This window comes from Homo sapiens, chromosome 2 (assembly GCF_000001405.40).
Source record: "Homo sapiens chromosome 2, GRCh38.p14 Primary Assembly".
In the NCBI taxonomy this organism is placed as follows: domain Eukaryota; kingdom Metazoa; phylum Chordata; class Mammalia; order Primates; family Hominidae; genus Homo; species Homo sapiens.
Window position 1 is genome coordinate 60,838,146 of NC_000002.12, and position 26,898 is coordinate 60,865,043.

The window sequence follows — 26,898 nt, forward strand, 5'->3', positions numbered from 1 at the left end:
CTTTTTTTTTTTTTTTTTTTTGAGACAGAGTCTCACTCTGTCACCCAGGCTGGAGTGCAGTGGCGCGATCTCAGCTCACTGCAACCTCTGCCTCCTGGGTTCAAGTGATTTTCCTGCCTCAGCCTCTCAAGTAGCTGGGATTACAGGCATGTGCCACCAAGCCTGGCTAATTTTTGTATTTTTAGTAGAGACAGGGTTTCACCATGTTGTCTAGGCTGGTCTCGAACTCCAGGGCTCAAGCGATTTGCCCACCTCAGCCTCCCAAAGTTCTGGGATTACAAGAGTGAGCCACCGTGCCGTGCCCGGTCAGAAGAAAGGAACATTCTTATCTCTGAAGACATAGGAACACAAAGAAGAATTTGAACAAACGTATGTTGCTAAGCTCCCTGCAGTTTATTATCATTAGATCATATCCCCTTTGTCCTGTTATATTTCTCCATGACCGTCCACTCTTCATCAAAGCCAGCAATAATACACAAGTCTGTTTCTTTGGGTATTCATTTGCTTAAAAGGCCCCTGTGTCACATAAAACATACCAAATAAATTTGCATGTTTTTCTCTTGTTAATCTGTCTTTTGTTATAGAGCTTTCTCCACTGTAAACCTAGCGATGGGTGAGGAAAAGATATTTCTCCTTATGTTCTCACACAATATTTGAAGCTACTTATTTAAAAAATGCAGCCATAATAGATTGTTAAAACAAGAATGGAAAGCAAAGATCACTTTAAGCAAGAGAAGAGAGAGCTATATGAGAAAACCTAGACTAAGAATATTTCTTAGAATTGAGCTAAAATGCTGGGCGCCGTAGCTCATGTCTGTAATCCTAGCACTTTGGGAGGCCGAGGCAGGCAGATCACTTGAGGTCAGAAGTTCAAAACCAGCCTGGCCAACATGGTGAAACCCTGTCTCTACTAAAAATACAAAAATTAGCCAGGCATGGTGGCGGGCACCTGTAATCCCAGCTACTCGGGAAGCTGAGGCAGGAGAATCACTTGAACCCAGGAGGCGGAGGTTGCAGTGAGCCGAGACCACGCCACTACACTCCAACCTGGGCAATAGAGCGAGACTCCATCTCAAAAAATAAAAAAAGAATTGAGCTAAAATGAAAGTGTCCTGGCAATTTAGGTATCATGAGTTTCATAACTTCACCTTCTTTTCTAAAAAAGGACACACGTGCTTGCTCTAAACTCTAAGAAAGCTGACAGAATCTTTATCCAGGGATGGTGAATGGCAGTAAAATTCTTTTTCACAGATACAGAAATGTCTTTCATGTGTTGATTTCTTACACCTAAATTGTTGTCTTGTGACAGCATTTCTGTGGGGTGCCGAGAAGCTTTGATCTAAGAGTACCCCTTTCTGGTGCTCTAATTCTAATCTGACCGTGGGGGACAGTCGAGAGCAGTGCTTTTCAAGCTCTAATGTGCATCTGAATGACCTGGGGATTCTAAATCAGTCATCTGGGGTGGGGCCTGAGGTCATGCATTTCCAACAAGCTCGAGAGGCTGAAGGCTTAGAGCAGCAGTTCTTAAACCTGAGCATGCATCAGAAACACAGGGGGCCTTGTGAAAATGGGTGGCTGGGCACCACCTCCAGGGTTTTTGATATAGTAGTACTGAGGTAGGCCTCAAGAATTTGCATTTCTTGGCTGGGCATGGTGGCTCATACCTGTAGTCCCAGCACTTTGGGAGGCTGAGGCGGGTGGATGGCTTGAGGCCACGAGTTCCAGATCAGCCTGGCCAACATGGTGAAACCCCACCTCTACTAAAAATACAAAAATCAGCTGGGCATGGTGGCAGGTGCCTGTAATCCCAGCTACTCGGGAGGCTGAGGCAGGAGAATCACTTGAACCCAGGAGATGGAGGCTGCAGTGAGCCGAGATGGAGCTACTGCACTCCAGCCTGGGCAACAGAGTGAGACCCTGTCTCAAAAACAATAAATAAAATAAAGAATTTGCATTTCTTTTTACTCATTCATTTATGAGCAGGGAAGTGGTGGAGTGGGGGCAGTGGGGGGCGGTCTCACTATGTTCCCCAGGCTGGTCTTGAACTCCTGAGCTGAAGAATTCTCCCACCTTAGCCTCCTAAAGCACTGGGATTACAGGCACAAGCCGCCAGGCCTAGCGGAGTTTGCATTTCTTTTCTTTTCTTTTTTTTGAGACGGAGTCTTGCTCTGTCACCCAGGCTGGAGTGCAGTGGCGTGATCTCGGCTCACTGCAAGCTCCGCCTTCCGGGTTCACGCCATTCTCCTGCCTCAGCCTCCCGAGTAGCTGGGACTACAGGTGCCCACCACGCCCAGCTGATTTTTTGTATTTTTAGTAGAGACGGGGTTTCACTGTGTTAGCCAGGATGGTCTCAATCTCCTGACCTCGTGATCCGCCTGCCTCGGCCTCCCAAAGTGCTGGGATTACAGGCGTGAGCCACCGTGCCGGGCCCAGAGTTTACATTTCTAACAAGATCCCGTGTGATACACATTTTAAGAACTGCTGGCTTAGAACATCCCTCATGACTGTGAGTGGTCCCTCACTGGCTTCACATGAAAGTTGATGGTTACAAAATTCAAGATGAAACAACCATGATAGGCCTTCTAAGCAGGTATTTTGTGAGTTTAAATGAAAAGAGATCCACATGCCTTATTTAGATAATGAAGATAAGGATAGCTAACATTTATTAATCTTTTCTCTTTGTAACACACTAAGGGTATAACACACATTATCTCACTTGGCATCTGGCATGGGCAGCAGTGTTGGTGTTTGATGTTTGGCTGAGGAGCCAGACTTGTGTGCGTGCTGGGAGGGGGTGTTTTCGGTGCACTGTTGTGGTCTGCAGAGGTACCTGCATGCCAGGCCAAACTGTCCCTCAGGAAACACCTTTAGATCTAGACTAGCAGACGCTAGAGGCCCGAGTTCTGCTTCACAGAGTCTGCAGGAAATAAATGAAAGAAGTTGAGGGCAGGTGTTAACAATCATCTGTTTCAACCGCAAAAGTACCTGAATATAGAACAGAATTTGTCAAGCCTGGCGCACAGCAGGAGCACCTGGATGCCCGGGACCCATCCACAGAGGGTGTGATTAGATTGGCCTGGAGAGACACCTGGGCACAGGCATTTTTAAGAGCTCCCCAGCCAGGGTTGAGAAACACTGGTACAGGTTTGATTGCAGCAAGATGAATCGGGTTGGCTGAGGAAGGGAAGGGGCAGAGACCAAATTGAACAAAACAAAACATCTATTCCCAGACTGGATCTCTCTTAAGCATTTGCCAAATTGGTTTTGTGCTATCCTTTAGAACAGTGGTCTTCAAATTTAGTATGCATCAGAGTCACCTTGAGGTTTCCTTAAAGCAGATTGCTGGACCTACCCCCAGAGTTTCTAATTTAGCAGGTCTGGGGTGGGCTCAAGAATTTGCATTTCTAACAAGTTCCCAGGTGATGCTGATACTGCTGGTCCCAGAAGCCAGTTTCTTTGCTATTAAGACCTTCATTGCAACATACAGAAGGATGCCTATATTTCTTATTTTCTACTTATTCTCAACTCTTTTTTACTGAAGCAAAAAAATACAAACAAAAGTGAAAACAGGCCGGGCGCGGTGGCTCATGCCTGTAATCCCAGCACTTTGGGAGGTGGATCACCTGAGGTCAGGAGCTTGAGACCAGCCTGGCCAACATGGTGCAACTCCACCTCTACTAAAAATACAAAAAGTAGACGGACATGGTGGCATGTGCCTGTAATCCCAGCTACTCAGGAGGCTGAGGCAGGAGAATTGATTGAACCCAGGACGCAGAGGTTGCAGTGAGCCGAGATGGCACCACTGTACTCCAGCCTGGACGAGAGTGAGATTCCACCTCAAAAAAAAAAAAAAAAAAAAAAAAAAGTGAAAACATGTGAAATCATTCATAATCCGATGATAGCCACAGTAGATGGCTTTTTTTTCCCACATAATACATATGTATGTATACAGATTTTCTTTCAGAAATTATAATGGTCATATGAAGAATGTGTTTGCATCTAGAAAGACATTTGTGCATTATTTCAAGGTCCTTATATAATCTATATAATACACAAAATCTATATAATTTTTGCTATGAGTTTAGAATTATAACAAAGTTTATTTCTTTTGATAATATCTTCAATATTATGTAATAAAAATAACTTTAAAAATCTATATCTAGCTATTTTAACAAATGTTAAAGAGGCCACAGTCTTGTTAAAATGCTATTTAAGTTGAGGTCTAGTGGTATTATTTTGGTAAAACCCCTGATTTGTTAAAATTGTAGTAGGATCTTTTATCAAGCTACATAGCTTGACCCATAAATGTTTTTCATTTATGAAACCAGAATATCTCCACAGAGGAGATCCATAGAAAAAAGAAATCAGAATAAAGTCAGGAGATACTAAAGGGTCTCCACGTTTATAAGCCTTTTCTTAATTGAGAATAGTCGCGAATAGCGAAGACTAAGAGTGGCATGCATTCAGAATTTGTCCCTCACATGTAGGACAAGAGTTAGAAAACCAGCCCACACCACCTGGCAGATGATGGCACAATTGGATGTGGTTGTTTAATTTGTAGGCTAAGAGATTATAGTATTAAAAGGAAGACAGAAAAGAATTTAAACTAGGCCACTACAGTAAAACACAAAAATACAAATGAAGAGACAAAACCTCCACAAAGGACCAGGCAAATAAAAATACCGAAAAGCTGCAACTGTTCTGAATAGTAAGCCTGAAATTAAATTCAGGAATTGCTTAAGGGAGGACGGTCAGGAGCAGCCCCTGAAGGCTGGTGGTAGTCTTCATTCACTACCTCAGGGGAGAAGCCTGTCCTCACTTTCAGAGGTGTGGAGGTGTGGGCCATTCCTGTTGCCTTCCTTCCCTCCCGAAGACAGCCCTGTCCCCCCACCACCTAGAGGCACTTTCAGCAGCACCCAGACACAGTCCTCGATCTTCCCCCTGGGACGGAATGGCACCAACAAAGGAGAGGGCAGTGTTCTCACCCCTGGCTGCACTCCTGAAAACACCTGTCCCGGGCCCCACCCGCAGGCTTCTAATTTAATTGGTCTGGGGTGGGAAACTAAGCAGCAGTTTTGCTTTTTGTTTTTTTTCTGTGTGTGTTTTGTTTTTGAGACAGGGTCTTGCTCCATTGCCCAGGGTTGGGGTGCAGTGGTTCAGTCATGGCTTACTGCAGCCTTAAACTCCTAGGCTCAAGCAATCCTTGTGCCTCAGCCTCCTAAAGTGCTGGGATTACAGGCATGAGCCATCGTGCCCAGCCAGTTTTGTTTTCTAGTTGAAGTAATATATAAATAGCCAAAAAAGTGCACAAGTCATGTGTGCAACTCAGTGAATTATCACAAAGCATACATTTTTTTATATTTGCATAACTGGGTATATCACAATTTGTCTGTTCTGCTGGGCATTTGAGTTGTTTCTAGTTTGAGCAATTACAAATAATGCTGCTGCAAACATCCTTGTATGTGCCTTCCAGTGCATGTGCGCACACTTTTATCTGGGTATAAACTGAGGAGCAGAATTGCTGGATTGCAGGGTAGGATTTGGTTCAATTTTAGTAGATGCTGCCAAACTGCTTTTCAAAGTGATTCTACCAATTTATACTCCCATTAGCAATGTTTGTGAATTCTAGTTGCTCCGCAATGTTTGTGAATTCTAGTTGCTCCACATTCTAGCAAGAAAACAGTATACGTAAAAGCTCCCTGGGTGATTCTGCTGTGCATGAGGAGAAGAACCACCAATGCCATCATATATCACATGCTTTGCAAATGGCATATGGTCTCACGTGTGCTGGAGTGCTAGGGATACAGGGCATAGACTATGATGTCTTCACAACTATCCAGGAAGAAAACAGTACAGACATTTGTGTTCCCTTTTTGCTAATGAGGACACAACGCAAAGTTAATTGACTTACCAGAAGTAACACAGCCATGTAGTGACAGTCAGGACTAAAACCCAGAATTCTTGATTTCCATCCCTTTGCTTGTCCCAACATACAACACAGCCTTATTCAGAAGATGTCCAGTGTATAGAGGTTTGGGGCAAATCAGATGTCGAGGCACCTTCTCAGTTGTTTGAGAGTTTCTGTACCAGAGTTTAAGAAAAAAAAGAAAGCAGAATAAATGACTCAGACTTTCCCTGCCACCAAAGTCTCAGGCCTTGGTTGTGAGAAACACAGAGACCCTCCCTTCAGACAGGAATGAAGAACAGGAAATGTGTCCCTTCTGTGCCTGGGACTCTACACAACCAGAAAAGTGAAGGGTGCCTTCAGGAGCAATTTGGCCTGAGTGTCCCTCAGACCAGCTAGGCTCTGACCCCCAGCTCTTCCCTGTCCTCACCGGGTGACCTTAGACAAAGGGTTCAATTTCTTCGAGTCTCGATTTCCTCATTAGTAAAATAGGAATAATAATATACATACTTTAGGTTCTAAGAAGAGAATATTATCTATAAAAACAAACATATAGTAAGCATTTAATACAATGTAGATTTTTTAATTTTTATTTTTAGACAGTGTCTTGCTCTGTTACCCAGGCTGGAGTGCAGTGGTGCTATCATAGCTTACTGTAACCTCAAACTCCTGGGCTCAAGCAATCCTACTGCTTCAGCCTCCTGAGTTGCTGGGATTACAGACATGTACCACCAAGCCCAGCTAATTTTTAAATTTTATTTACTTATTTATGTAGAGATGGGGTCTCACTGTGTTGCCCGGGCTGGTCTGAAGTCCTGGGCTAAGGCCATCCTCCCACCCCAGCTTCTCAAGGTGCTGGTGTTACAGATGTGCACCACTGCGCCCAGCCTGATATTCTTAATACTACCAGAAACAGCCCATGAGTCCTCTACATCTTCAATTTTTCCCTCTCTACTGAATCCTGTTTTTTCCTCTCTATTGGATCTTTTCCATAAATTTAAAAGGCAATTATTTCTCCTATTTTTTTTTTTTTTTGAGACAGGGTCTTGCTCTGTCACCCAGGCTGGAATGCAGCGATGCAATCATGGCTCACTGCCACCTCGACCTCCCAGGCTCAGGCGATCCTCCCACCTCAGCCTCCTGAATAGGTGGGACCACAGACATGCACCACCACACCTGGCTAATTTTTGTATTTTTTGTAGAGATGGGGTTTCATCATGTTTCCCAAGCTGGTCTCAGACTCCTGGGCTCAAGGGATCTGCCCACCTCAGCCTCCTAAAGTGCTGGGATTATAGGAGTGAGCCACCACACCCAGCTTCTCCTATCTTTAAAAAAACTCTCCCAACTCTTCTTCCTCCTCTACTTCCATTTCTCTCTTCCACTTACAACTAATGTCCTTCAAAGAGTTGTCTGTGGTCACTGACTCAAATTCTTTGTTTGTTTGCTTTGCTTTGTTTGTTTGTTTGCTTTGTTTGTTTGCTTTGTTTGTTTGTTTACGGAGACAGAGGTTCGCTCTGTCGGCCAGGCTGGAGTGCAATGGTGCCATCTTGGCTCACCGCAACCTCCGCCTCCCGGGTTCAAGCGATTCTCCTGCCTCAGCTTCCTGAGGGGCTGGTATTACAGGCATGTGCCACCACACCTGGCTAATTTTGTATTTTGAGTAGGGACGGGGTTTCTACATGTTGGTCAGGCAGGTCTTGAACCCCCGACCTCAGGTGATCTGCCTGCCTAGGCCTCCCAATGTTTCTTCATTTTTTAACCTTTTCTATGAGACTTTCACCCTCTCCACTCCATTGGCACAGCTCTTCTCAAGGTCACCAATGACTTTGACTTTCCTAAATGCAATAGTGGATTCCCCAGTCCTCATCTTACTTGCTCCATCAGCAGCACTGGGCATGGTCAATTGCTCCCTTTTTGATTCATCTTTGCTTGGCTTCCAGGACACACAACACACTCTCCTTATTTTCCTCCTGTCTCACTGGCTGGCCCTCCTGTCTTTTTTGCTTGTTTTCCTCTTCTTCGTAATCATAAACACTAGACTGTTTCAGGGTTCATGCCTTGGACTTCTCTTTTCCATCTACCATCATTTTCTCAAAAATCTCATCATCTTTTGGCTTTATTTTATTTTACTTTATTTTTGAGACAGAGTCTTGCTGTCGCCCAGGCTGGAGTGCAGTGATGCGTTCTTGGCTCACTGCAACCTCCGCCTTCCTGGTTCAAGTGATTCTAATGCCTCAGCCTCCCAAGTAGCTGGGACCACAGGTGTGCGCCACCATGCCTGGCTAATTTTTGTATTTGTAGTAGAGACGGGGTTTTGCCAGGTTGGCCAGGTTAGTCTCGAACTCCTGGCATCAAATGATCCACTCGCCTCAGCCTCCCAAAGTGTTGGAATTACAGGTGTGAGCCACGGCACCCAGCCATCATCTTTTGGCTTTAAATGCCATTTATTAATTCCGGACTCCCAAAATTTATCTCCAGGCCCTGACCTCTCCACTGAATTCCAAACTGACTAGTTACTTGGCCTTTCCACTAGGACATCTCACAGGGATGTCAACTCCCGTAACTGAATACCTGATCTTCCCCAAACCTGGACCCGTTAAGTCATCTCTTTCAGTTCATGGCAATTCCCTTTTTTTGGTTGCTCAAGTCAAATTCCCTGGATTACTGCAGTAGTCTCCTAACTGGTCTCACCCTTGTCCTTCACAGTTTATTCTCCGTCTCCCGGGTCCAAGCGATTCTCCTGCCTCAGTCTCCCGAGTAACTCTATTTTCAAAATATTTCCAGAATCTCACAACTTCTCACTGTCTCAATTACTACTGCCCTGGTCTAAGATACTTTCTTCTCTTCCCTGGATTACTGCCATAGTCTCCTAACTGGTCTCACCCTTGTCCTTCACAGTTTATTCTCAATCCAGCAGCCAGAGTGGTCTTGTTAAAATGTAACTCAGATCTTGTCCCTGCACTGCTTAGATTATACAGTGGCTTCCCATCTGGTTCAGAGTAGATCCAAGTCCTAAGAAAAGCCCTCCATGACCCCCACCCACCCACCTACACCTTTCTGACATCACCTTCTACTCTTTCTCATGCTCACCCTGTTCTCAATTCAGCCGCGCTGGCCTGCGGACGGATCCCTAACCTTGCCAGGCTTGCTCCTGCCTCTGGCCTTTGCACTTGTTCTTTGTGCTGGGAACGCTTCACCTCCTGATGTTCTCATGCCTCTTCCCTCCTCCTCCCTTTTTTTGTTTGTTTGTTTGTTTTTGAGACAGAGTCTTGCTTCGTCACCTAGGCTGAGTAGCGCGATCTCTGCCCACTGCAACCTCTGCCTCTCGGGTTCAAGTGATTCTCCTGCCTCAGCCTCCGGAGTAACTGGGATTACAAGCTCCTGCTACCACGGATTCTCCTGCCTCAGCCTCCCGAGTAGCTGGGATTACAGGCTCCTGCTACCACGCCCGGCTAATTTTTGTATTTTTAGTAGAGACGGGGTTTCGCCATGTTGGCCAGGCTGGTCTCGAACTCCTGACCTCAGGTGATCTGCCCACCTCGGCCTCACAAAGTGGTGGGATTACAGGTGTGAGCCACTGTGCCTGGCCCAGGTCTTTAACTGTCACCTTCTCAGTGCTGCTTTCCCTGGCCACTCTCCTTTATTTTTTCCCTAGCACTTCTCACCACCGAACACACTCGCACACACGTGTGCACACACGCTTGCTGTTATTATTAATCTTGTTTATTGCTTGTTTTCCTCAATAGAACGTACATGGCATGAGCGCTGCAGGGTTTTTGTGATTTCAGTTCACTCCGTTTTCCCCAGCACCTGGAGCAGTGCTTACCTGTAATACAAGCTCAGTAGATGTTGCTTTAATGAATGAATTAGTCCCTATTCACAAAGGAAAAACAAAACATCCTTCGCAAAAAGAGCTCCCGGGGGAAATCCCTAAGAGGTCTTTGGCCCAAGAGAAACACAGTTAAAAAGTTGAAGGGGGAAATTGTTTTGGTTTTCCCCTTTCCTTCTGAAAGTTCCATTTAAGGAAGACTAGCCAGGCCTGGCCTAGCAATCCCTTTCTAATCCTTAATATGCCTTAATGAGAATGCAGAAATGAGTGGGAGTGTGGCAGGCCAATTCTCCCTGACAATCGCACAGACAGGCCTGCATGACAGTCGCACAGACAGGCCTGCGTAGCACCCGTTACACAGACAGATTTCCACAGTGCTGCCTGAACATTGAGCAAATAGTTAAACCTAGAGAAATCGGTGCTGAGACATCCAAGCTAGAAATGAAACATACAGTCAGTAGGAGCCTTGCATGGGCTTCTCCCTTGCTGGAGCAAACCAAAATAATAGAGACAGTTTTACATTCCTAGTGCCAGGACCCATCTCAGGTCGACAAAATCTGAGACAAGTCAAGGTTACAGAGGCAGCTGTTTTAATAAATTCATTGGGAAGTCTAAGGCAGCTCTCCAGACCAAGCTGTAAAAGAGATAAGATAGAAATAATCACTCCGTACCACCATAGACAGGCCTTGAAGGTACTGGGGCCCTTTTAATCGGACTTAGCATTTCTTTTTTTTGCCTCTGACCTTCTAGTTGAAACAAAATTAGTTACCAATAGACTTAGGCGAATGCTAGACTGCACTAAGAAAATTTTAACACTTTTGAGTTGGTCTGGTGGAATTATCTCCGGCCTTCTCCCTGTATCCGGCTATAGTAGTCAATTCCCTTCTTTCCTAGTTTGTCTGCTTCTTGTTATTGAGCCTCCAGAAAATGCAGCCGGACCTAGCTTGGTTCCGGGAACAGGAGTGGGAGCCTCGGGGTACTGCAAGGAAAAGGGAAAGAGAGAAGACAAATGCAGGGCGGACAATCCAAGGAATGCCTGATCCATGGGAACTGGACTTGCCCAGGGTCTTTTCTGCCTCTAATAGGTTCCGAAGCAGGTTCTCCACATGTGCCCCTGCTCGATGCTCTCTCCCAGGTTCATTGCTCCTCCTATCCAAAGACTTCTGCCTGCTTGCCTCACTAATGGTGCCTCTTTTAGGTTGTGTCACAGCCTTCCCATTAAAAATTCCCATCATCCTGGTCAGGCACGGTGGTTCATGCCTATAATCCCAGCACTTCGGGAGCCCGAGGTGGGCGGATCACTTGAGGTCCCAGGAGTTCGAGACCAGCCTTGGAAACATGGTGAAACCCCATCTCTACTAAAAAAAATACGAAAAAAAAAAATTAGCAGGGTGTGGTGGCTCACGCCTGTAATCCCAGCTATTCAGGAGGTTGAGGCAGGAGAATCACTTGAACCCAGGAGGCAGAGGCTGCACTTAGCTGAGATTGCAACACTGCACTCCAGTCTGGGTGACTAAGCAAGACTCTATCTCAAAAAAAAAAAAAAAAAAAAAAAAAAAAAACCAACACTATCCAGTGGCATGTCCTAAGAAAAAAATTAAAAAGCTATTTTCAGCCTGTGTAAGTTAAAGGTGGGAGAGGGTGGAGGAGATGCTGACAGCCCCAGTGCCTGGTAGACAGGGGGCAGTTTGCTTTGCTCATTTATATACAGTAGTGATCACTGAATGGCCAACCCATCCTCCAGCTGGGACCAGCCATCAAAGACAGATGAGGCAGCCACTTACCTAGTGTGATCAGAGGGAGACCAAAGACTCTGTTGCACCAACCCCTTGCCACAGTATTTACCGTGCTCTGATCAGGATAGCCCTTCCTTGGGTAAAGACCCCATGTTTCCAGGGGCCACCTTTCAAAGCCCCAGATGTCCTTGTGGAAGGCAGAGGGTTCAATCCAAGACAATCCTTTACACCTGCCAGTTCCAAAAGAGGTCTACACCATGTGTGTCTAAATATTTAAAAGTTATAATCAAGCCAACAAACTGATGAAATATGTTCCATCTTCCTACCCTGATGACAATTTGGAAGGCTGGGTTCAACTTCAGAATTCTCAGACTCTACTTAGACTTCTCTGCCAGAAGTGGTGGCACATGAAGGGCCAGCCAGCCCCTAGCCCCAGCTCATGTCCAGCCTCCCTTCTCCTCCCACCCTGGATCCCTCCCACACCACAGGGGCCTCCCGTATAGGTATGTGGGCACCCCTGCCTGCACTTTCAAGCTCTGTCCAGCTGCCCCTTGGGTACTCTGGGCTTTGGGATGCACACACCACGAACGTAGTCTGCCCTTGAGACCACCGATACTGGGAACAGGCCTGCAGGAGAGCTGGGGCTCTTTGAGTTCTCAGGTTCCCAAACTGTGATCTTGAAGGAGAGCATGGGCTCCAGGCTGGGGAGGAGTCCCCTTGGTCCTAAGGACTCTTCACCCCATGGAGAGGGGCATGGCAGGAGCAGGCCCCTCTAAAGTGCAGGACTCAGGGCAAGGGCCCTCTTGCCAGTTCTAATGAATGAAGCAGAGGACAGAAAGATACCAAGGAAGAGAGAAAGGAGAATGTGTGGACAGCATGGGATGCTCCCTGGGGAGGAGCTCACAGTGAGGAGTCCCTGGGCAGCCAGGGGGCCATCCCAAGATTGGGGAAAGAAAAGCTAGGAAAGCAGGAATGTGAAAGGAGGTGAGTGGAAAGTAAAAAGGCACTGAAAACAAACCTACTTGATAACAAACCTTGCTCTCTTTGGGTATATTTTATTCATGTATGTGTGATGCATTTTTTGTTTGTTTGTTTGTTTTGAGACAGAGTCTCACTCTATCTCCCAGGCTGGAATGCAGTGGTGCGATCTCGGCTCACTGAAACTTCTGCCTCCTAGGTTCAAGTGATTCTCATGCCTCAGCCTCCCAAGTAGCTGGGATTACAGGCGCCTGCCACCACACCTGGCTAATTTTTGTATTTTTAGTAGAGACAGGATTTCACCATGTTGGCTAGACTGGTCTCGAACTCCTAACCTCAGGTGATCTGCCTGCCTCAGCCTCCAAAGTGCTGGGATTACAGGCATGAGCCACGGTGCCCAGCTGATGTATGCATTTTTAATTGAACCATTAATCCTACTCCCCAGTTCATGGCACATCATCATCATCCTTATTATATATTTGGGTGGTAAAAGGTCACTTTTGTTTTATTTATGTATTTATTTCCTTTCATTTTCATTCCCCAATGCCCACCCCACATCCCCATTGGCAACAATTTTGTACACACAGGGGGCCATCCTGACCCCTCTCTCTTCACTCCTGCGTGCAATAGCCCTGTCTGAACCCAGGAACCATTCCTCTACATAGATCTGTTATGTCTCTTCAAAGTGGTCGTGCATCCTCCATCTCCAGGACAGGATATAGCTGGTTCCCTCCTAGGCCTTGCAGGAAGACTAGAATATGTTAAAACTTCTAGAAGGCCTTGTTAAGCCTAGAATGGACTTTTGCATAGATCACCCCACCTTGGACCCTGTAGAAAGGAAGTGCCAAAATCCCATTAGAAGTCATTTTCATCTGTAAATAAGTCCCTAACATGTTTTATTATTATGTTATTTTGAAGCCTATTACATTCCAGTATCATATTTTAACCTCCTAAAAAAGAGTTTGTCATAAATGTCCTACAGTGGATAATGTGCCTGTACTAATTTTTTTCCCCAGAAAACGGTCTAAGTTTCTGGCTACCACATGTATAACAGTAATTATCATTCTTTATCTTTTATATTGCAGTTATCTCCTTCAGTCATTTCCTGATAATAAATCATTTTGTTTTGTCATTTCTATTACCTTGGCATACCAGAAACATGGGTAGATTTTTATTAACATAAAATAGTTGATTGACTCCTAATTATAGCACCCAAAGTGCAGACATTTCAAATCTGGCTGTCATCCAGTCTGTCCCTGGATCTAAGGCAAAAAAAAAAAAAAACTAAAAAATAAAATAAAATAAAGGAACTCTGGTTGTTTCATAGGAGTGTGTGTGCGTGTGTGTGCATGTGTGTGTGTATTAAAAAATAATTTATATATCTAAATTATCCTGAGGCCAATTTAAAATAAACTTTTAGCATCGATCCTAATTTTCCCCTTTAATAACACATTTATATCTTTTTCTTCTTTTTGTATTTAGAGACAAGGTCTCACTTTGTTGCCCAGGTTGGTCTTGAACCCTGAGCTTAAGGGATCCTCCTGCCTCAACTTGCCAAAGTGCTGGAGTTACAGGTGTGAGCCACCGCACCCAGCCAGATTTAAATCTTAATATGAACTAAATGACCCTTTCAGCCAGAACTGGCATCTTCCAGTAATTTCCCAAAATGACAAACACAAAGAGGTGAGGCACGCAACCCGTGTTCTCTAGGCCTTTTAGAAAACATGGAGTTGTTCCTTTGGCCACATATATGCCAATCTGCGAGAAAGGTGATATTGTAGACATAAGGGAATGTGTACTGTTCAAAAAGGAATGTCCCACAAATGTTATCACGGAGAGACTGGAAGAGTCTACAGTGTTCCACAGCATGCTGTTGGCATTGTTGTAAACAAACAAGTTGAGGGCAAGATTCTTGCCAAGAGAATTAATGTGGGTATTTATTGAGCACAGCCACCATAGCATTATTAAGCACAGCCGCCATAGCTTCCTGAAACATGTGACGGAAAATGATCAGAAAAAGAAGGAAGCCAATGAGGAAGGCACTTGGGTTCAACTGAGGTGCCAGCCTGCTTCACCCGGAGAAGTGCACTGTGTGAGAGCCAACAGGAAACAGCCTGAGCTGCTGGACTCTCTTCCCTATGATGAATTCATGGTGTAATCGGTGTAAAAAAAAATTAAAAGACCTCTGGACTGTTAAAAAAAAAAAGGGAAGAAAAAAAGAAAACAACAACAACAAATAAATAAATAAATAAATGCACCCTGACCAAAATTGCTAAACAGTTTTTTCCAATCCCATTTATTTTGGTTTTCTAGAAATGTGAACATATGATAAGTTGTGTGGGAAATTGTACGCGTGTGGTATTAGCAGGGGCAGCTTATTATTAAGATGTCTCTGGTGGTAGTAATGTTTCTATGATATCATAGTTGGAAGTTATTTAATTGAAAAAGGTAAGATATTGTAAATAAGAGTCAAATCCATGGTTCTAAAAACCATGCCTGAAGACCAGCTCTTAGGGAATATGGGCTCTGAGGATCAAGACAGGAGAGACGGCAGCAATTGGTCCAGGGAGATGCTCTCCCATCCTGAGAGTCAGAGTTGCCCCGTTGCCTTTGCAGTCCCCTCCTTGTTAATCTAAAGTGTGGTTCCTAGGAAACTAAGGAGTTGTCACTAAGGGAGAGTTTAGATGTTTTATCAGATTAGAATTTAAATACTTGATCAATGGGTGCTAACATAATTAGGTCCTAACAAAATTGCAGGCAAACTCTAAATGAAGAAGTGCCTTTGTCGCTGCTGCCCTAATTGGGGTTTGGAGGTATCTCAGGACTCAAGCTGGGAGATCTTTCCTATCCAGGGCAGGTGTTAGCTCACGAAGGATTTTTGTGCAAATTAGGGAAGGTCCTCCAGATAGACTGACAGAGCCTGTACCCAAGGTGCCTGGCCAGGAGTGTGGGGCCTGGGCTATAGCCCCCACCATAGCCTCCACAGTACATGTGGCTGTCCTTCTGTGTCAGTGTTCAAACAAGTTCTAGCCTCCCCCTGGACACCCTGTCTCCTTCCAGTGACTACCTTAAACCTCAGTTCCCCTTTCCACCCTTCTGTAAAGTCACCAGTGGTTCCATGTGGCTAAGTCCAAGGAATTGGTTTTGTTCCTCATATTACTGCCCACTTAGGAAACTCTGACCCTGCGGATCACTCTCTCCTTAAAATGCTCTTGCCTCTGCCTCTGTGATGCCACACGCTCCTTGGGTTTCTCCTCCTACTCTCCTTTTTCCTCTTAGTTTGGGGCTTCCTCCTTGCAACCATGTTTACATGTAAGCTTCACTCAAGCCTCAGTCCTGACCTTCCTCTCTTCCTATTCTCGACTCTTTCCATGACCTAAGATATGATTCCCACAGCCAGGGAAAGCCTTATTTCTCTATCTTCACGTCCATCCCAGAGGGGACAGTACTGGATCACCTCCCCTGGCTGTCTCTCCACCATTTACCACTCTTTTCCAAAGACCAGGTAAATGAACCGATGGGGGGATGGAAGTGGGGTTTGGGGAAAGGCTGCATAAGCTCTAGGGAGCCAAACTGGACCACATGGGTGGTCTGGCAATTTCACCAAGGGGCCTCTGCCTCTGCCGAGGGGAGGTCCACAGCGGAGTGGGGAGATTCAGTGCGGGGGAAGGCATTAGGAAGATTAGTGGTGTCTGCAGAGTCCCAGCTGCATTTTCCAATCCAACTTTATCAGCAATAAAGTTGATATTGATCCCTAGCTGTGGACTCATTCTACTTCTCAGTTGGTTCCAACTCAGTGGAAGGTAGATGATGCGTACGTCTACCACCACCCTCAAAACCCGCACAGGGCCCAAAGCCCAGGAAAGCTTAAGGAACGGGCACAGGGATGGAGACTTAAGATACACCCAGTAAGAAGGATGCTTTGGACAGGAGGGGATTCTAGGTCCTTGACTTATTTAGGATACAGCAGTTTAATGAGACTGGTGTCACAGGACCTCAGCAAACTCAGGCCTTTGCTACCTTAGTATACACAGGTTGCGCAGACTTTTGTAACTGATAGATCTAAGCAGGTGCCGCCAACATTAGAGGAATCGTTCAGTCACTTAAAACTTGCAGAGCTTCAGTGACTACATTCTTTAGATATCAGTAGTTGGGATACTTTTTTGTCGTGCCTATCATGCTTCTCAGGCAGGGACAGGCCAAAGGAAGCTAAGCTCCATGTGGGCTACAGCTTCGGTTCTCAAACTCTCACATGCATAAAAGTCACTGAGTAAGCTTATTAAAATACAGTTTCCTGGGCTTCCACTCCATGATTGAGTAGGTCTGGGGTAAAATCTAGGAATTTGCATTTCTAACAAGTTCCTAGGTGATGCTACTGGTCTGAGGACCACTGGGTTAGAGTACACTAGCCTGTGTGGTTCTAGCCTTCCACGCATTCAATCAACTGCTTCAAATTCTCTTCCTATTTATGTTATGTTGACCTGAATCCGATTTTAGGGCCAAGAAAAGAACTGTGGTGGAATTAATATCCTGATTCTGTACACTTACCTCCAGACTCCTAGAATCACCCTCAAAACCCATGGCATAGTTTAAAGTCCTCTGTAGATTTGTTACTTAACCCTGGCCATGGTTTTGATCAGAGACCCAGATTTGGAGGTTCAGCCACAGAGGGTAGTGGCTTTTTATCAATGAACAGATAGAGAAACTGGGGACCTTATTTTACAGGTGGCTGGCCATCTTTTGGGGCATTAATGAAAATATTAGTAAAACCAAAGATTAAGAGGAATAGGTTGGATGGGGTGGCTCACACCTGTAATCCCAGCACTTTGGGAGAACAAGGAGGGGAGACTGCATGCCTCCAGGAGTTTGAGACCAGCCTGGGCAACATAATGAGACCTCATCTCTAAAAAAAATAAATAAATAATTAACCAGGAGTGGCTGTTTATAAATGCCTATAGTCCCAGCTACACAGGAGGCTGAGATGGGAGGATTGCTTGAGCCCGGGATATCAAGGCTGCAGTGAGCCATGACTGTACCACTGCACTTAGTTAGCCTGGGCACAGAGCAAGACCCTGTCTAAAAAAAAAAAAAAAAGAAAAAAAGAAAAAAACTGGCCAGGCGTGGTGGCTCATGCCTATAATCCCAGCACTTTGGAAGGCTGAGGCAGGCAGATCACTCGAGGTCAGGAGTTTGAGACCAGCCTGGCCAACATGGCGAAACCCCGTCTCTACTAAAAATACAAAAATTAGCCAGGTATGGTGGCGCATGCCTGTAATCCCAGCTACTAGGGAAACTGAGGTAGGAGAGTCACTTGAACCCGGGAGATGGAGGTTGGAGTGAGCCAAGATCACGCCCCTACACTCCAGCCTGGGCAACAGAGCAAGACTCCATCTCAAAAAAAAAAAAAGAAACCAAAAAACCAAAAATGAATAGTAAAAAGACCTGTGGCAAGAACACACTGTCTCCAAGAATCAAGGAGGAGCTGAACTGGTTGAGACACGCTGACCTTGAAGTCAGAATGAGAGCAGTTGGAGAGAAAGAGAAGTAATGCAGCTAGGCTGATAATGGGGGAAGGGAGGACAGCAGGGGAAGAAGCCTGGGGTTCAGCCAGAGACACACCTGGGTTGTTTGCAGCCAGTGTCCATGCTGACTGGCTAAAGCTGAGCCTTACCACCATTGCCATGTAGAGGGAAGGATTTCCTTAAGAGAAATGTTTTGATTGTGAAGGCAAGACTAGTCCAATCTAAAAGGCAAAGGGAGATATGCTTGGACCCAACTGCTCTCAAATAAGGTATTATTAATAGAGACTCTTTTCCTTTGGCTACTACTAGGCCGGAAAGGGTGACTCGGGTCCAAAGAACTCCAATAAAAAAGGAGAGATTTCAGAGAAGAGAATGGAATAATCTACACACCTACCCCACCCTCAACCAGGGAGCATAGTTCCAGGAAGCTCTTGAGAGGTCCTCTCTTAAAAGGTCAGATAAGGAGTCAACAGTAAGTTTAACTGGGGAAATCGCCCTTTAAAGACTACAAAAGTTATACCAGGTAGTCGTGCAACTGTGGCAGGATTTGGGGAGGGAGGTCTGGGAAGATGGGCACAGAATGTGTCCAGCATTACCAGTGAGTTTCAAGGTGGTTCAATTAGAATACTACAGGTGGGAATGTAGTCATGGTATGTACCTTGAGGGGACATACCCAGGAAACTTTTGGAGGGGCCCTTTCAGAGAAGGCACAGGAAGATGAAGTGAGCTGCAGTGAACCAGGCAGGACAGTGGTAGATGGAGTCCAGGCCCAGGTTAGATAATTGGTCCAAAAGGACAAAACCACCTGCAAGGAGAAAGAAGGACAAGATATGTTTCAACAGTCATGTTGTTTGCAGATTCAAAACTTCATAATTTCATACTGCTCACTATAGTGTACCCCATGAAACAGAACTTAAGGAGCATATCAGAAGAACAAATGTCCTGACTCAAAAACAAAGGGAAATAAAGATGAAAACACTAATCAGTACAGCAAACAGTGCTGGCTGACATGCGATAAAGAAGGAAATGGTCAACTGAAGAAGCAAGGTAAAATGTGAAAGACTGGGCTGCCCTGTCCCAAAAAGAGAAGTGGAACAACAGAGGCATATAGACGATCACACACATATTCCACTTCTCCGTAAAAGACAGAACATAACGTAATCTGCTGCTGCCTTTGACACAGCTTTAATCCTCAAGGCAGGGAAAGGCAGTGCTCTGTGGACCAGCACATGGCAGAGATATTTGTCCTCACTAGGCCTTAGTGAAAAGCCTCAGAACCACAGACAAACATGTACTAAGAACCTTCTATGTGCCAGGTACTGTTCTAGGCACTGGGAGTACAGCAGTGAACAAAATGAAGACCTCTGCCCCTGGGAACATACATTCCATAGCAGCTTCAGTTGAGGAATCCACTACTAGTGATTCTCCAGATTAAACAAGTGAGAAAACTGCCCCAAGAGGTAGGTATCACAGCCTTATGAAAATCCAGGCAACGGCCGGGCACAGTAGCTCACACCTGTAATCCCAGTACTTTGGGAGGCCAAGGCGGGCAGATCATTTGAGGGCAGGAGTTCAAGACCAACCTGGCCAACGTGGCAAAGCAAAACCCTGTCTCTACTAAAAATACAAAAATCAGCCTGGTGCGGTGGCATGCACCTGTAATCCCAACTACTTGGGAGGCTGAGGCAGGAGAACCGCATGAACCAGGGAGGCGGGAATTCCAGTGAGCCGAGATTGCACTACTGCACTCCAGCCTGGGTGACAGAGCGAGGGCAATCGCTCCTAGGCATTCAAAAGGGGTGATAAATATTTAGGAATTTTGCATGGCACAACCTTAACAGCTTAAAATCTTCCACAGAGAGAGTATTTACACCAAATGAGAAAATATTGCCAATCAGGGCTTATTCATTTATTTATTTGAGAGAGCCAGTTTACCAGCACACCATTCCAATGGCTGCTTACGAGGGGACATGGGGCTGTGTTCCTGGCTCGACGGGGACACAGGGGAAATGGAAATTAAGGGGCTTTAAATCTACAGAATGGGGAAGAAAGGATTCTCCAGTAACTTTTTTTTTTTTTTTTTTTGAGATGGAGTCTCTCTCTGTCGCCCAGGCTGGAGTGCAGTGGCGGGATCTCGGCTCACTGCAAGCTCCGCCTCCTGGGTTCATGCCATTCTCCTGCCTCAGCCTCCCGAGTAGGTGGGACTACAAGCACCCGCCACCATGCCTGGCTAATTTTTTGTATTTTTAGTAGAGACAGGGCTTCACCGTGTTAACCGGGATAGTCTCGATCTCCTGACCCCGTGATCTGCCCGCCTCAGCCTCCCAAAGTGCTGGGATTACAGGCGTGAGCCACCACGCCGGGCCCCAGGATTCTCCAGTAACTTCTAAAGCATCACTGAAAATTTCTAAATTTTGCAAGAGGCCAGGAAGGTTTCAATTTCCAGACGTGCCCTAGGCCATAATTAACTTCCTGATGAAAGACTTCTCCTAACACAGTGTAAAGTTCACCAGTCAAGAACTACGGAAAACCGACATAGATTGAGAGGTATTAAGACAAGGCTGATATCTAAAAGTTTTTTTCTTTTCTGTTTTCTCTACTTCCCACAGATACTGCTGGGCCTCTGCTAGGCTTGTTAGCTGGTGCCAATACTATGTGTGTATTCTGGGATTCTGGGGACTTTATTTTGATTGGTGAAGTAGATGTTCATATGATTTTTGTCTGTTCATCAACTGAACCTCTTTCCCCTCCTTAAAAGTCTTGGTGGGAGGCAGAGTCTATCTCCTTTTATAGAAGCATAAAATGTCACTTACTTTCCCAGCTTCCTTTGCAGTCATGTGGCCAAGATGCAGCCATGTGACCAAGGCTCGGCCAGCGAGATGGACCCACTCTGGACTTTGAACCAGGAGTCAGCAATGCACAGATGAGGCCCAACAGAGAATTCCCCATGATGATGGGGACACCGCTCAGTTGCCACCAATGCCTTCTTCAGACTAGTTCACAGGTCATACTATGCAAAGCCAGGTTTTCCTGTCTTCCCTGTAATTCCCCCAACTACCCAATGGACTATGGATAAATTCCTTCTTTGCTTAAATCAGGCAATGTTGGTTTCTGTGGCTCATAACCTAGAATCAGGACTGATATAACTGGTCTAACTGCTGTAGGGGCCAGCAGATTAGTTCATGTTTTCTAAGTCAGGTGTGGGGCTGGTGCTGGGATAATCTTCTCTGTCCTTTTAACCCGATGGACTCTAAAAGTGGAACACACAAGAGACATTGGCTGCGGTCACTGAGTGAAGGCCCTGGGCTGAGGCTGAACGGTATGAGAGTGCAGGAGATCTTCATGGACTTTAATATCCTTGGTCTTTACCTTATAAGAGAAAGGAAATTTGATTTGGGGGGCATACCTCCTTGGGAATGTATTTAATAACATACTATTAAGAAGGGGAAAAATGCTGGCTAAACTTTGACAAAATGCTCTTTTGTCACTTAAAATGTTTATACTTCATTAACAACCTATTTCAGACTTACTTGGACATAGATTTGTATCATAGGTTGCTCTTGTGCATGCATAAAAAGGAAAATAGAAGCAAAATAACGTAAAGTACTCTTAGAAGCTCTTTATATTAGGAATCCAAATATTCTGAATCATCTTTGCTTTCAAAGTTGAACAAGTTTTTTTTGTTTGTTTTTATTTTTAGACAGAGTTTCACTGTTGTCGCCCAGGCTACAGTGTAATGGCGCAATCTCAGCTCACTGCAACCTCCACCTCCTGGGTTCAAGCGATTCTCCTGCCTTGGCCTCTCTAGTAGCTGAGATTACAGAAGCCTGCCACCACACCTGGCTAATTTTTGTATTTTTAGTAGAGACGGGGTTTCACCATGTTGGTCAGGCTGGTCTCGAACTCCTGACCTCAGGTGATCCACATGCCTCGGCCTCCCAAAGTGCTGGGATTACAGGCATGAGCCACCACGCCCAGCTGAAAGTTGGACAAGTTTTTATTGAATGTCTTTTTCCCCCCTAAGACATAGTTCACACAAGCCAGTAACATACTCTGAATACAGATTTTTCTATATAGGACCTCAATTTTGGATGATATTCCAAAAGGTTTTTTTAAGTTTTTTATTTTGAAATAATTTTGGATGCACAGTAAGTGTAGAGTTCTCATGTGCTCATTATCAAGCTTTTCCCCATGTTCTGAATCACTTTTTGAAAACTAAGATATAATTCACACACCATAAAATACATCCCTTTGAAGTGTATAATTCAGTGTTTTTAGTGCATTCACAAAGTTGTACAACCCACCACTATCTATTCTAGAACATTTCTCTTGATTTCTTTTTAAATTAAAATCCTTCAAGGGAATATTCCAGAACATTTCTATCACTCCCCAAAGAAACCCTGTATCTATTAGCAGTCACTCCCTGTTCCACTCCTCCTGCTCCCCCAGCCCCTGCAACTACTCATCTTTCTTTCTGACTGAATCACTTTTTAATTCAGAATGGCCTGTGTGCATCTCAGTGTCACTCTCTGTGTCACCAAGAGCACTGATGATAGAGCATTTTATAGCAGAGTGCTTCGTTTTGTCTCCAGGATTTTCTTCCAAGTTGCTGGTATCTGTTCTTAAAGTTTTAATACACATGTGCAGACAATGACAACTCCATCGTAACTGCAGCCTGGATGATGAGACTGTAATATGAATAACAATTTCAGAGAGGTTAAAATACGAAAAATTGCCAGGCATGGTGGTGGGTGCCTGCAATCCCAGCTACTCGGGAGGCTTAGGTGGGATAATATCTTGAGCCTAGGAGTTCAAGACCAGCCTGGGCAACATAGCAAGACCTAGTCTCTTAAAAAAAAAAAATGTGGGGGAAGAAAATGAACATGGACATCTTAGACTCAATGCAACACTGTAATAAAAGTAGGTTATTTAGGACATTTCCATTTTATTGGCATTGTATCACTGTCAGACAGCATATTGTCATACATTTCTATTATCATTTGATCTACTTCATATCTTCTGGTGAGCCAATTGGATGCTACAGCTGAGGACATATGAGATTAAGAAATAGGACAGTGATGAGTTTTCACCCCAAGATGCAGTAGGCATTGATAATTTAATTAAAGAATGGTTCTGCTCCCACTTCACAGCCTTTTTGGAACAAAAGCTAACTACCCATGAGTGGTTGAAGAAAAAATTCAAAAGAGCAATGGATTTTATGGAGAGAGAGGTGGAGGTGAGCCTTATAAAATGGGAGCAGGGTAGCAGGTCTCCAAGGCTCACCTCAGGGAATTTCACTGGTAGGAGAGCAGAGTGATGCCTCTTGTCCTCTCTCCAGCCCTCATTACCCATGCTGGTAATTTTCGAATGGCCCACTCTCCACCCTTCTCTGCCCTGCTCTGTGCCTGGGCAGGCTGACTGCTGCAGACTACATTCCCTACTCATGACAGTCCTCTGGCTTCTGGTGGGTTTCATCGATAGGAGGGAGTTATAAGGGGCGAAGAGCGAGTAGACAGGACGATATTTACCTCCCCCCACAGCCCACACTCACACCTGGCCAGTTTTGGCTCTGGCTTCTTTCCTCTGCCACATTCCTGTTGAGCAGCATCTCTGCCTGCCTTGGCAACAGCTCCCACTGAGTTACCGTAACAGCTCCCGCCCCTTGTCCCTACTAGAACTTCCTAGTATCTAGTTCCTGGATGCATCTGCATCCCCTGTTGGTACTTTTAACCTTGCCCACACCTCCGCAAGGTGTGGACATGGTTAAAGGTGGTGTCCCTTTGCTAAACTCTCTTCAGGTTCCACTTTGAATGTACCATCTGTTTCCTGTTGGAACACTTAGTCCTTCCCGAAGTGGGTGACTCACAGACAGCTGAGTGCCTCTCTCTCCTCTCCTCTCCCTTCCTCTCTGGGTTGGTGCCCCTGCACCAGGCACCCAGTCCTCTCTCCTACAAAACACAATCTTACTGGGCCAGGCTCTGTTCTGCAGTAGGGAGGTCTGCAGTTGGGCGCTGTATTAGGCCATTCCTGCGTTCCTATAAAGAAATACTGGAGACTACGTAATGTGTAAGAAATGAGGTTTCATTGGCTCATAGTTCTGCAGGCTGTACAGTGCCGGCATCTGCTTCTAGGGAGGCCTCAGGAAGCTTTTACTCACCATGGAATGGGAAGCAGGAGCAGGCACGTCACATGGAGGAAACAGGAGTGCATGGGGGTGGAGTGGGAGGGAGTGACGGTGCCACACACTTTCAGACCGTATCTCCTGAGAACTCACTCACTATGCGGCAGACAGCACCAAGCCTTGAGGGATCCACCCCCATGACCCAAATACCTCCTACCAGGCCCCCCTTCAACACTGGGGATTACATCTCAACATGAGATTTGAAGGCGACATCCAAACTATATCAGGGTCCAATAGGTGAAATTCAGGGGGAAGATATTAAAAAGCCCAATTTTGTCTATGGATAAAAGATCCATTCTATAATCCAGTTTAACCAATAAAAAAATTGAGACTTTTGATTCCCAAGATCAATATCTAGTTCTCAGCTGCTTCTGCACTCGGAATGTATGGGACATCATTCACTGGTTCCCTTAAATCCCAACAACCACTCTCAAATGTATATCTCCAGTTTCAGACTCATATAGACAGCTGTCTTGTTGTTCCACAGGCTCCTCATTGAACATACTCACAGCAAACTCATCATCTTCCTCTTTCTACCCTCAAACCTGGGGCTCCTCCAGTGTTTCCTGTTTCATTCTATGTTACCACTCTCCATACTGTTGCTCATGCCCAAAACCTGAAAGTCATTCTTGACACCTTCTTTTTCATCCTTCTATATATGAATTTTCAGATACAGTAAATCCTATGAACAGATCATTTATCCAATCCATCCACTTCTCTCCACCATCATAGCTATACCCCAGTACAAGCCATCATCAACTCTTGCCTGGACATAGCATTAACTTACAGTTCTATGAGCTCAGCTCTCTTCTTCCCTGATCTCTCAACCATTCTTCAATCAGTATGCAAGGCCTTTCACGTGTTTTAAAATCAAATCTGAGCATGATATTGTCCTGCTTAGAAGCTTTTAGGGCTCCCAACTGGTCATATGATAAAGTCCATTGGGAAGGAGAGTGAGAGGGAAAAAAAAGCTTTTTTTAAGGATCAAGTCCAAGGGCTCACCATAGCTTAAAAGGCCCTTCAAGATCTTTCCCCTGGCTTGCTTCATGAAGAACTAATTTATCTTCACACACAGCACTCCGGACACACTGGCCTTCTCTATTCCTTTAAACGCCTTGCTCCTCCCCACCTCAGAACATCAAACATTCCATTCCAGTTCCATCTGCCCAGAAAGCTCCATCCATCAGCTCCCACATGCCCAGCCCGGCCCTTTCATTCCTTGCCTGGGCTCCAGCTCCTGCACTTGTCCTGTGTAACACTTGTCACCATTATCGATATGTGGTCACTTTCTATGTGGTCAAGTCCTCTAGACCTGAAGCTCCTTCTGAATTGGAACTGTGTCTACCTTGTTCACTTCTAGGTCTCAGGGCCTAGCACACAGCCTGCCTTGTGGTGGTTGTTTAATACACATCTGTTGAATGAATGAATGATGTTGAGCCCATAGTTTTTTCACTTTGAGCCTCAGTTTCTTCATCTGTTAAGCTAGAGGAAGTGAGGTTTCTTCCAATGTGAACATTTCATGATTTTATGACTGCAAAGCACTTCTTTGAACACCAAAATTGCTCAGTTGAAGATAACATGGTTAAAGAGGAAATTTTTTTTTTTTTTTTTTTTTTTTCAAATTTTAACCATTGAAGTCTCAGTCATAAAGAGGAAATCCATGAGACAACTCTGCTGCTCCCACCTGTCCATGGTCTACTGGTAAATACAACATACGCAACAGTCTCACAGGTCAAAAGGCATCTCTGCTTCCAAGAGTTTATCTCCTCTCCCTCAAGAAAGTTAAATTATAGGTGTGGCCTGATGTTTCTAGCTACCCTTCTGGTGCATGAGACAATCCATAAAACCTCCAAACTTTACCATACTGAGACATCCCAGATTCTGACGGCACAAACAGGGATGGATTTCAAATTTGTGAGCTTTATCATTTTCTTCTTTTGGGGGTGGTGGGTGTTACTAGAATCTTTACACATTATATTGTTTTAAAAAGTTTTAAAGTGGAAACAAACTAAAGAAACAAATATTAGCCCTCTCTAGAATCTCAGATGTAGTTAGTTAAGATGATATCAGGCTGGGAGTGGTGGCTCACACCTGTAATCCCAGCACTTTGGGAGGCCGAGGTGGAGTGATCACCTGAGGTCAGGAGTTTGAGACCAGCCTGGCCAACATGGCAAAACCCCATCTCTACTAAAAAATACAAAAATTAGCTGGGCACAGTGGCAGGCAGCTGTAATCCCAGCTACTTGGGAGGCTGAGGCATGAGAATCGCTTGAACCCAGGAGGCGGAGGTTGCAGTTAGCCAAGATTGCACCATTGCACTCCAGCCTGGGAGACAGAGCAAGACTCCATCTCAAAAAAAAAAAAAAAAAAAAAAAAAAAGATGAGATCATACTGAATTAGTGTATGACTGGTGTCCTTAGAAGAAGAGGAGACAAAACACAGACACAGACGCAGACACAGAGGGAAAAAGACCACATAAAGACAGAGGCAGAGATTTGAGCTGTGCTGCTACAAGCCAGGAACACCTGAGGCTACTAAAAGCTGGAAGAGGAAAGGAAGCATCCTCCTCTAGAGCCTTTGGAGGGGGCATGGCCTTGCCAACACTTTGCTTTAAGGCTTTTGACCTCTAGAACTGTGAGACAATACATTTCTGTTATTTTAAGCCACCTAGTTTGTGATACTTTGTTACAGAAGCCCTAAGAAATGATGTATCAACCTTTAGGAATTTATTCCTCTAGAGCACAGGG

The 26,898-nt window shown here is 45.1% G+C and overlaps 1 long non-coding RNA gene and 1 pseudogene across 1 annotated transcript in view, besides 2 other annotated features; one reads left to right on the plus strand and one right to left on the minus strand.

The window, feature by feature from the left end:
- Positions 2,924–3,343: an enhancer, noted in NCBI's record as "active region_15822". NCBI's record gives its function as "activates an Ori minimal core promoter by ATAC-STARR-seq in GM12878 lymphoblastoid cells {active_cell/tissue: GM12878}" and the evidence as "EXISTENCE:reporter gene assay evidence [ECO:0000049][PMID:35858748]".
- Positions 6,102–6,321: an enhancer, noted in NCBI's record as "active region_15823". NCBI's record gives its function as "activates an Ori minimal core promoter by ATAC-STARR-seq in GM12878 lymphoblastoid cells {active_cell/tissue: GM12878}" and the evidence as "EXISTENCE:reporter gene assay evidence [ECO:0000049][PMID:35858748]".
- The window catches only part of REL-DT (REL divergent transcript), a 33,555-nt gene continuing 16,271 nt past the window's right edge, over positions 9,615–26,898 (minus strand). Inside the window, exons 2-3 of the long non-coding RNA NR_033980.1 lie at positions 18,629–18,775; positions 9,615–11,089 (exon numbers count right to left, since the gene is read on the minus strand). This is a non-coding gene — a long non-coding RNA (REL divergent transcript). The remainder of the gene's footprint in view (positions 11,090–18,628; positions 18,776–26,898) is intronic.
- RPL21P33 (ribosomal protein L21 pseudogene 33) lies at positions 14,075–14,640 on the plus strand (annotated as a pseudogene).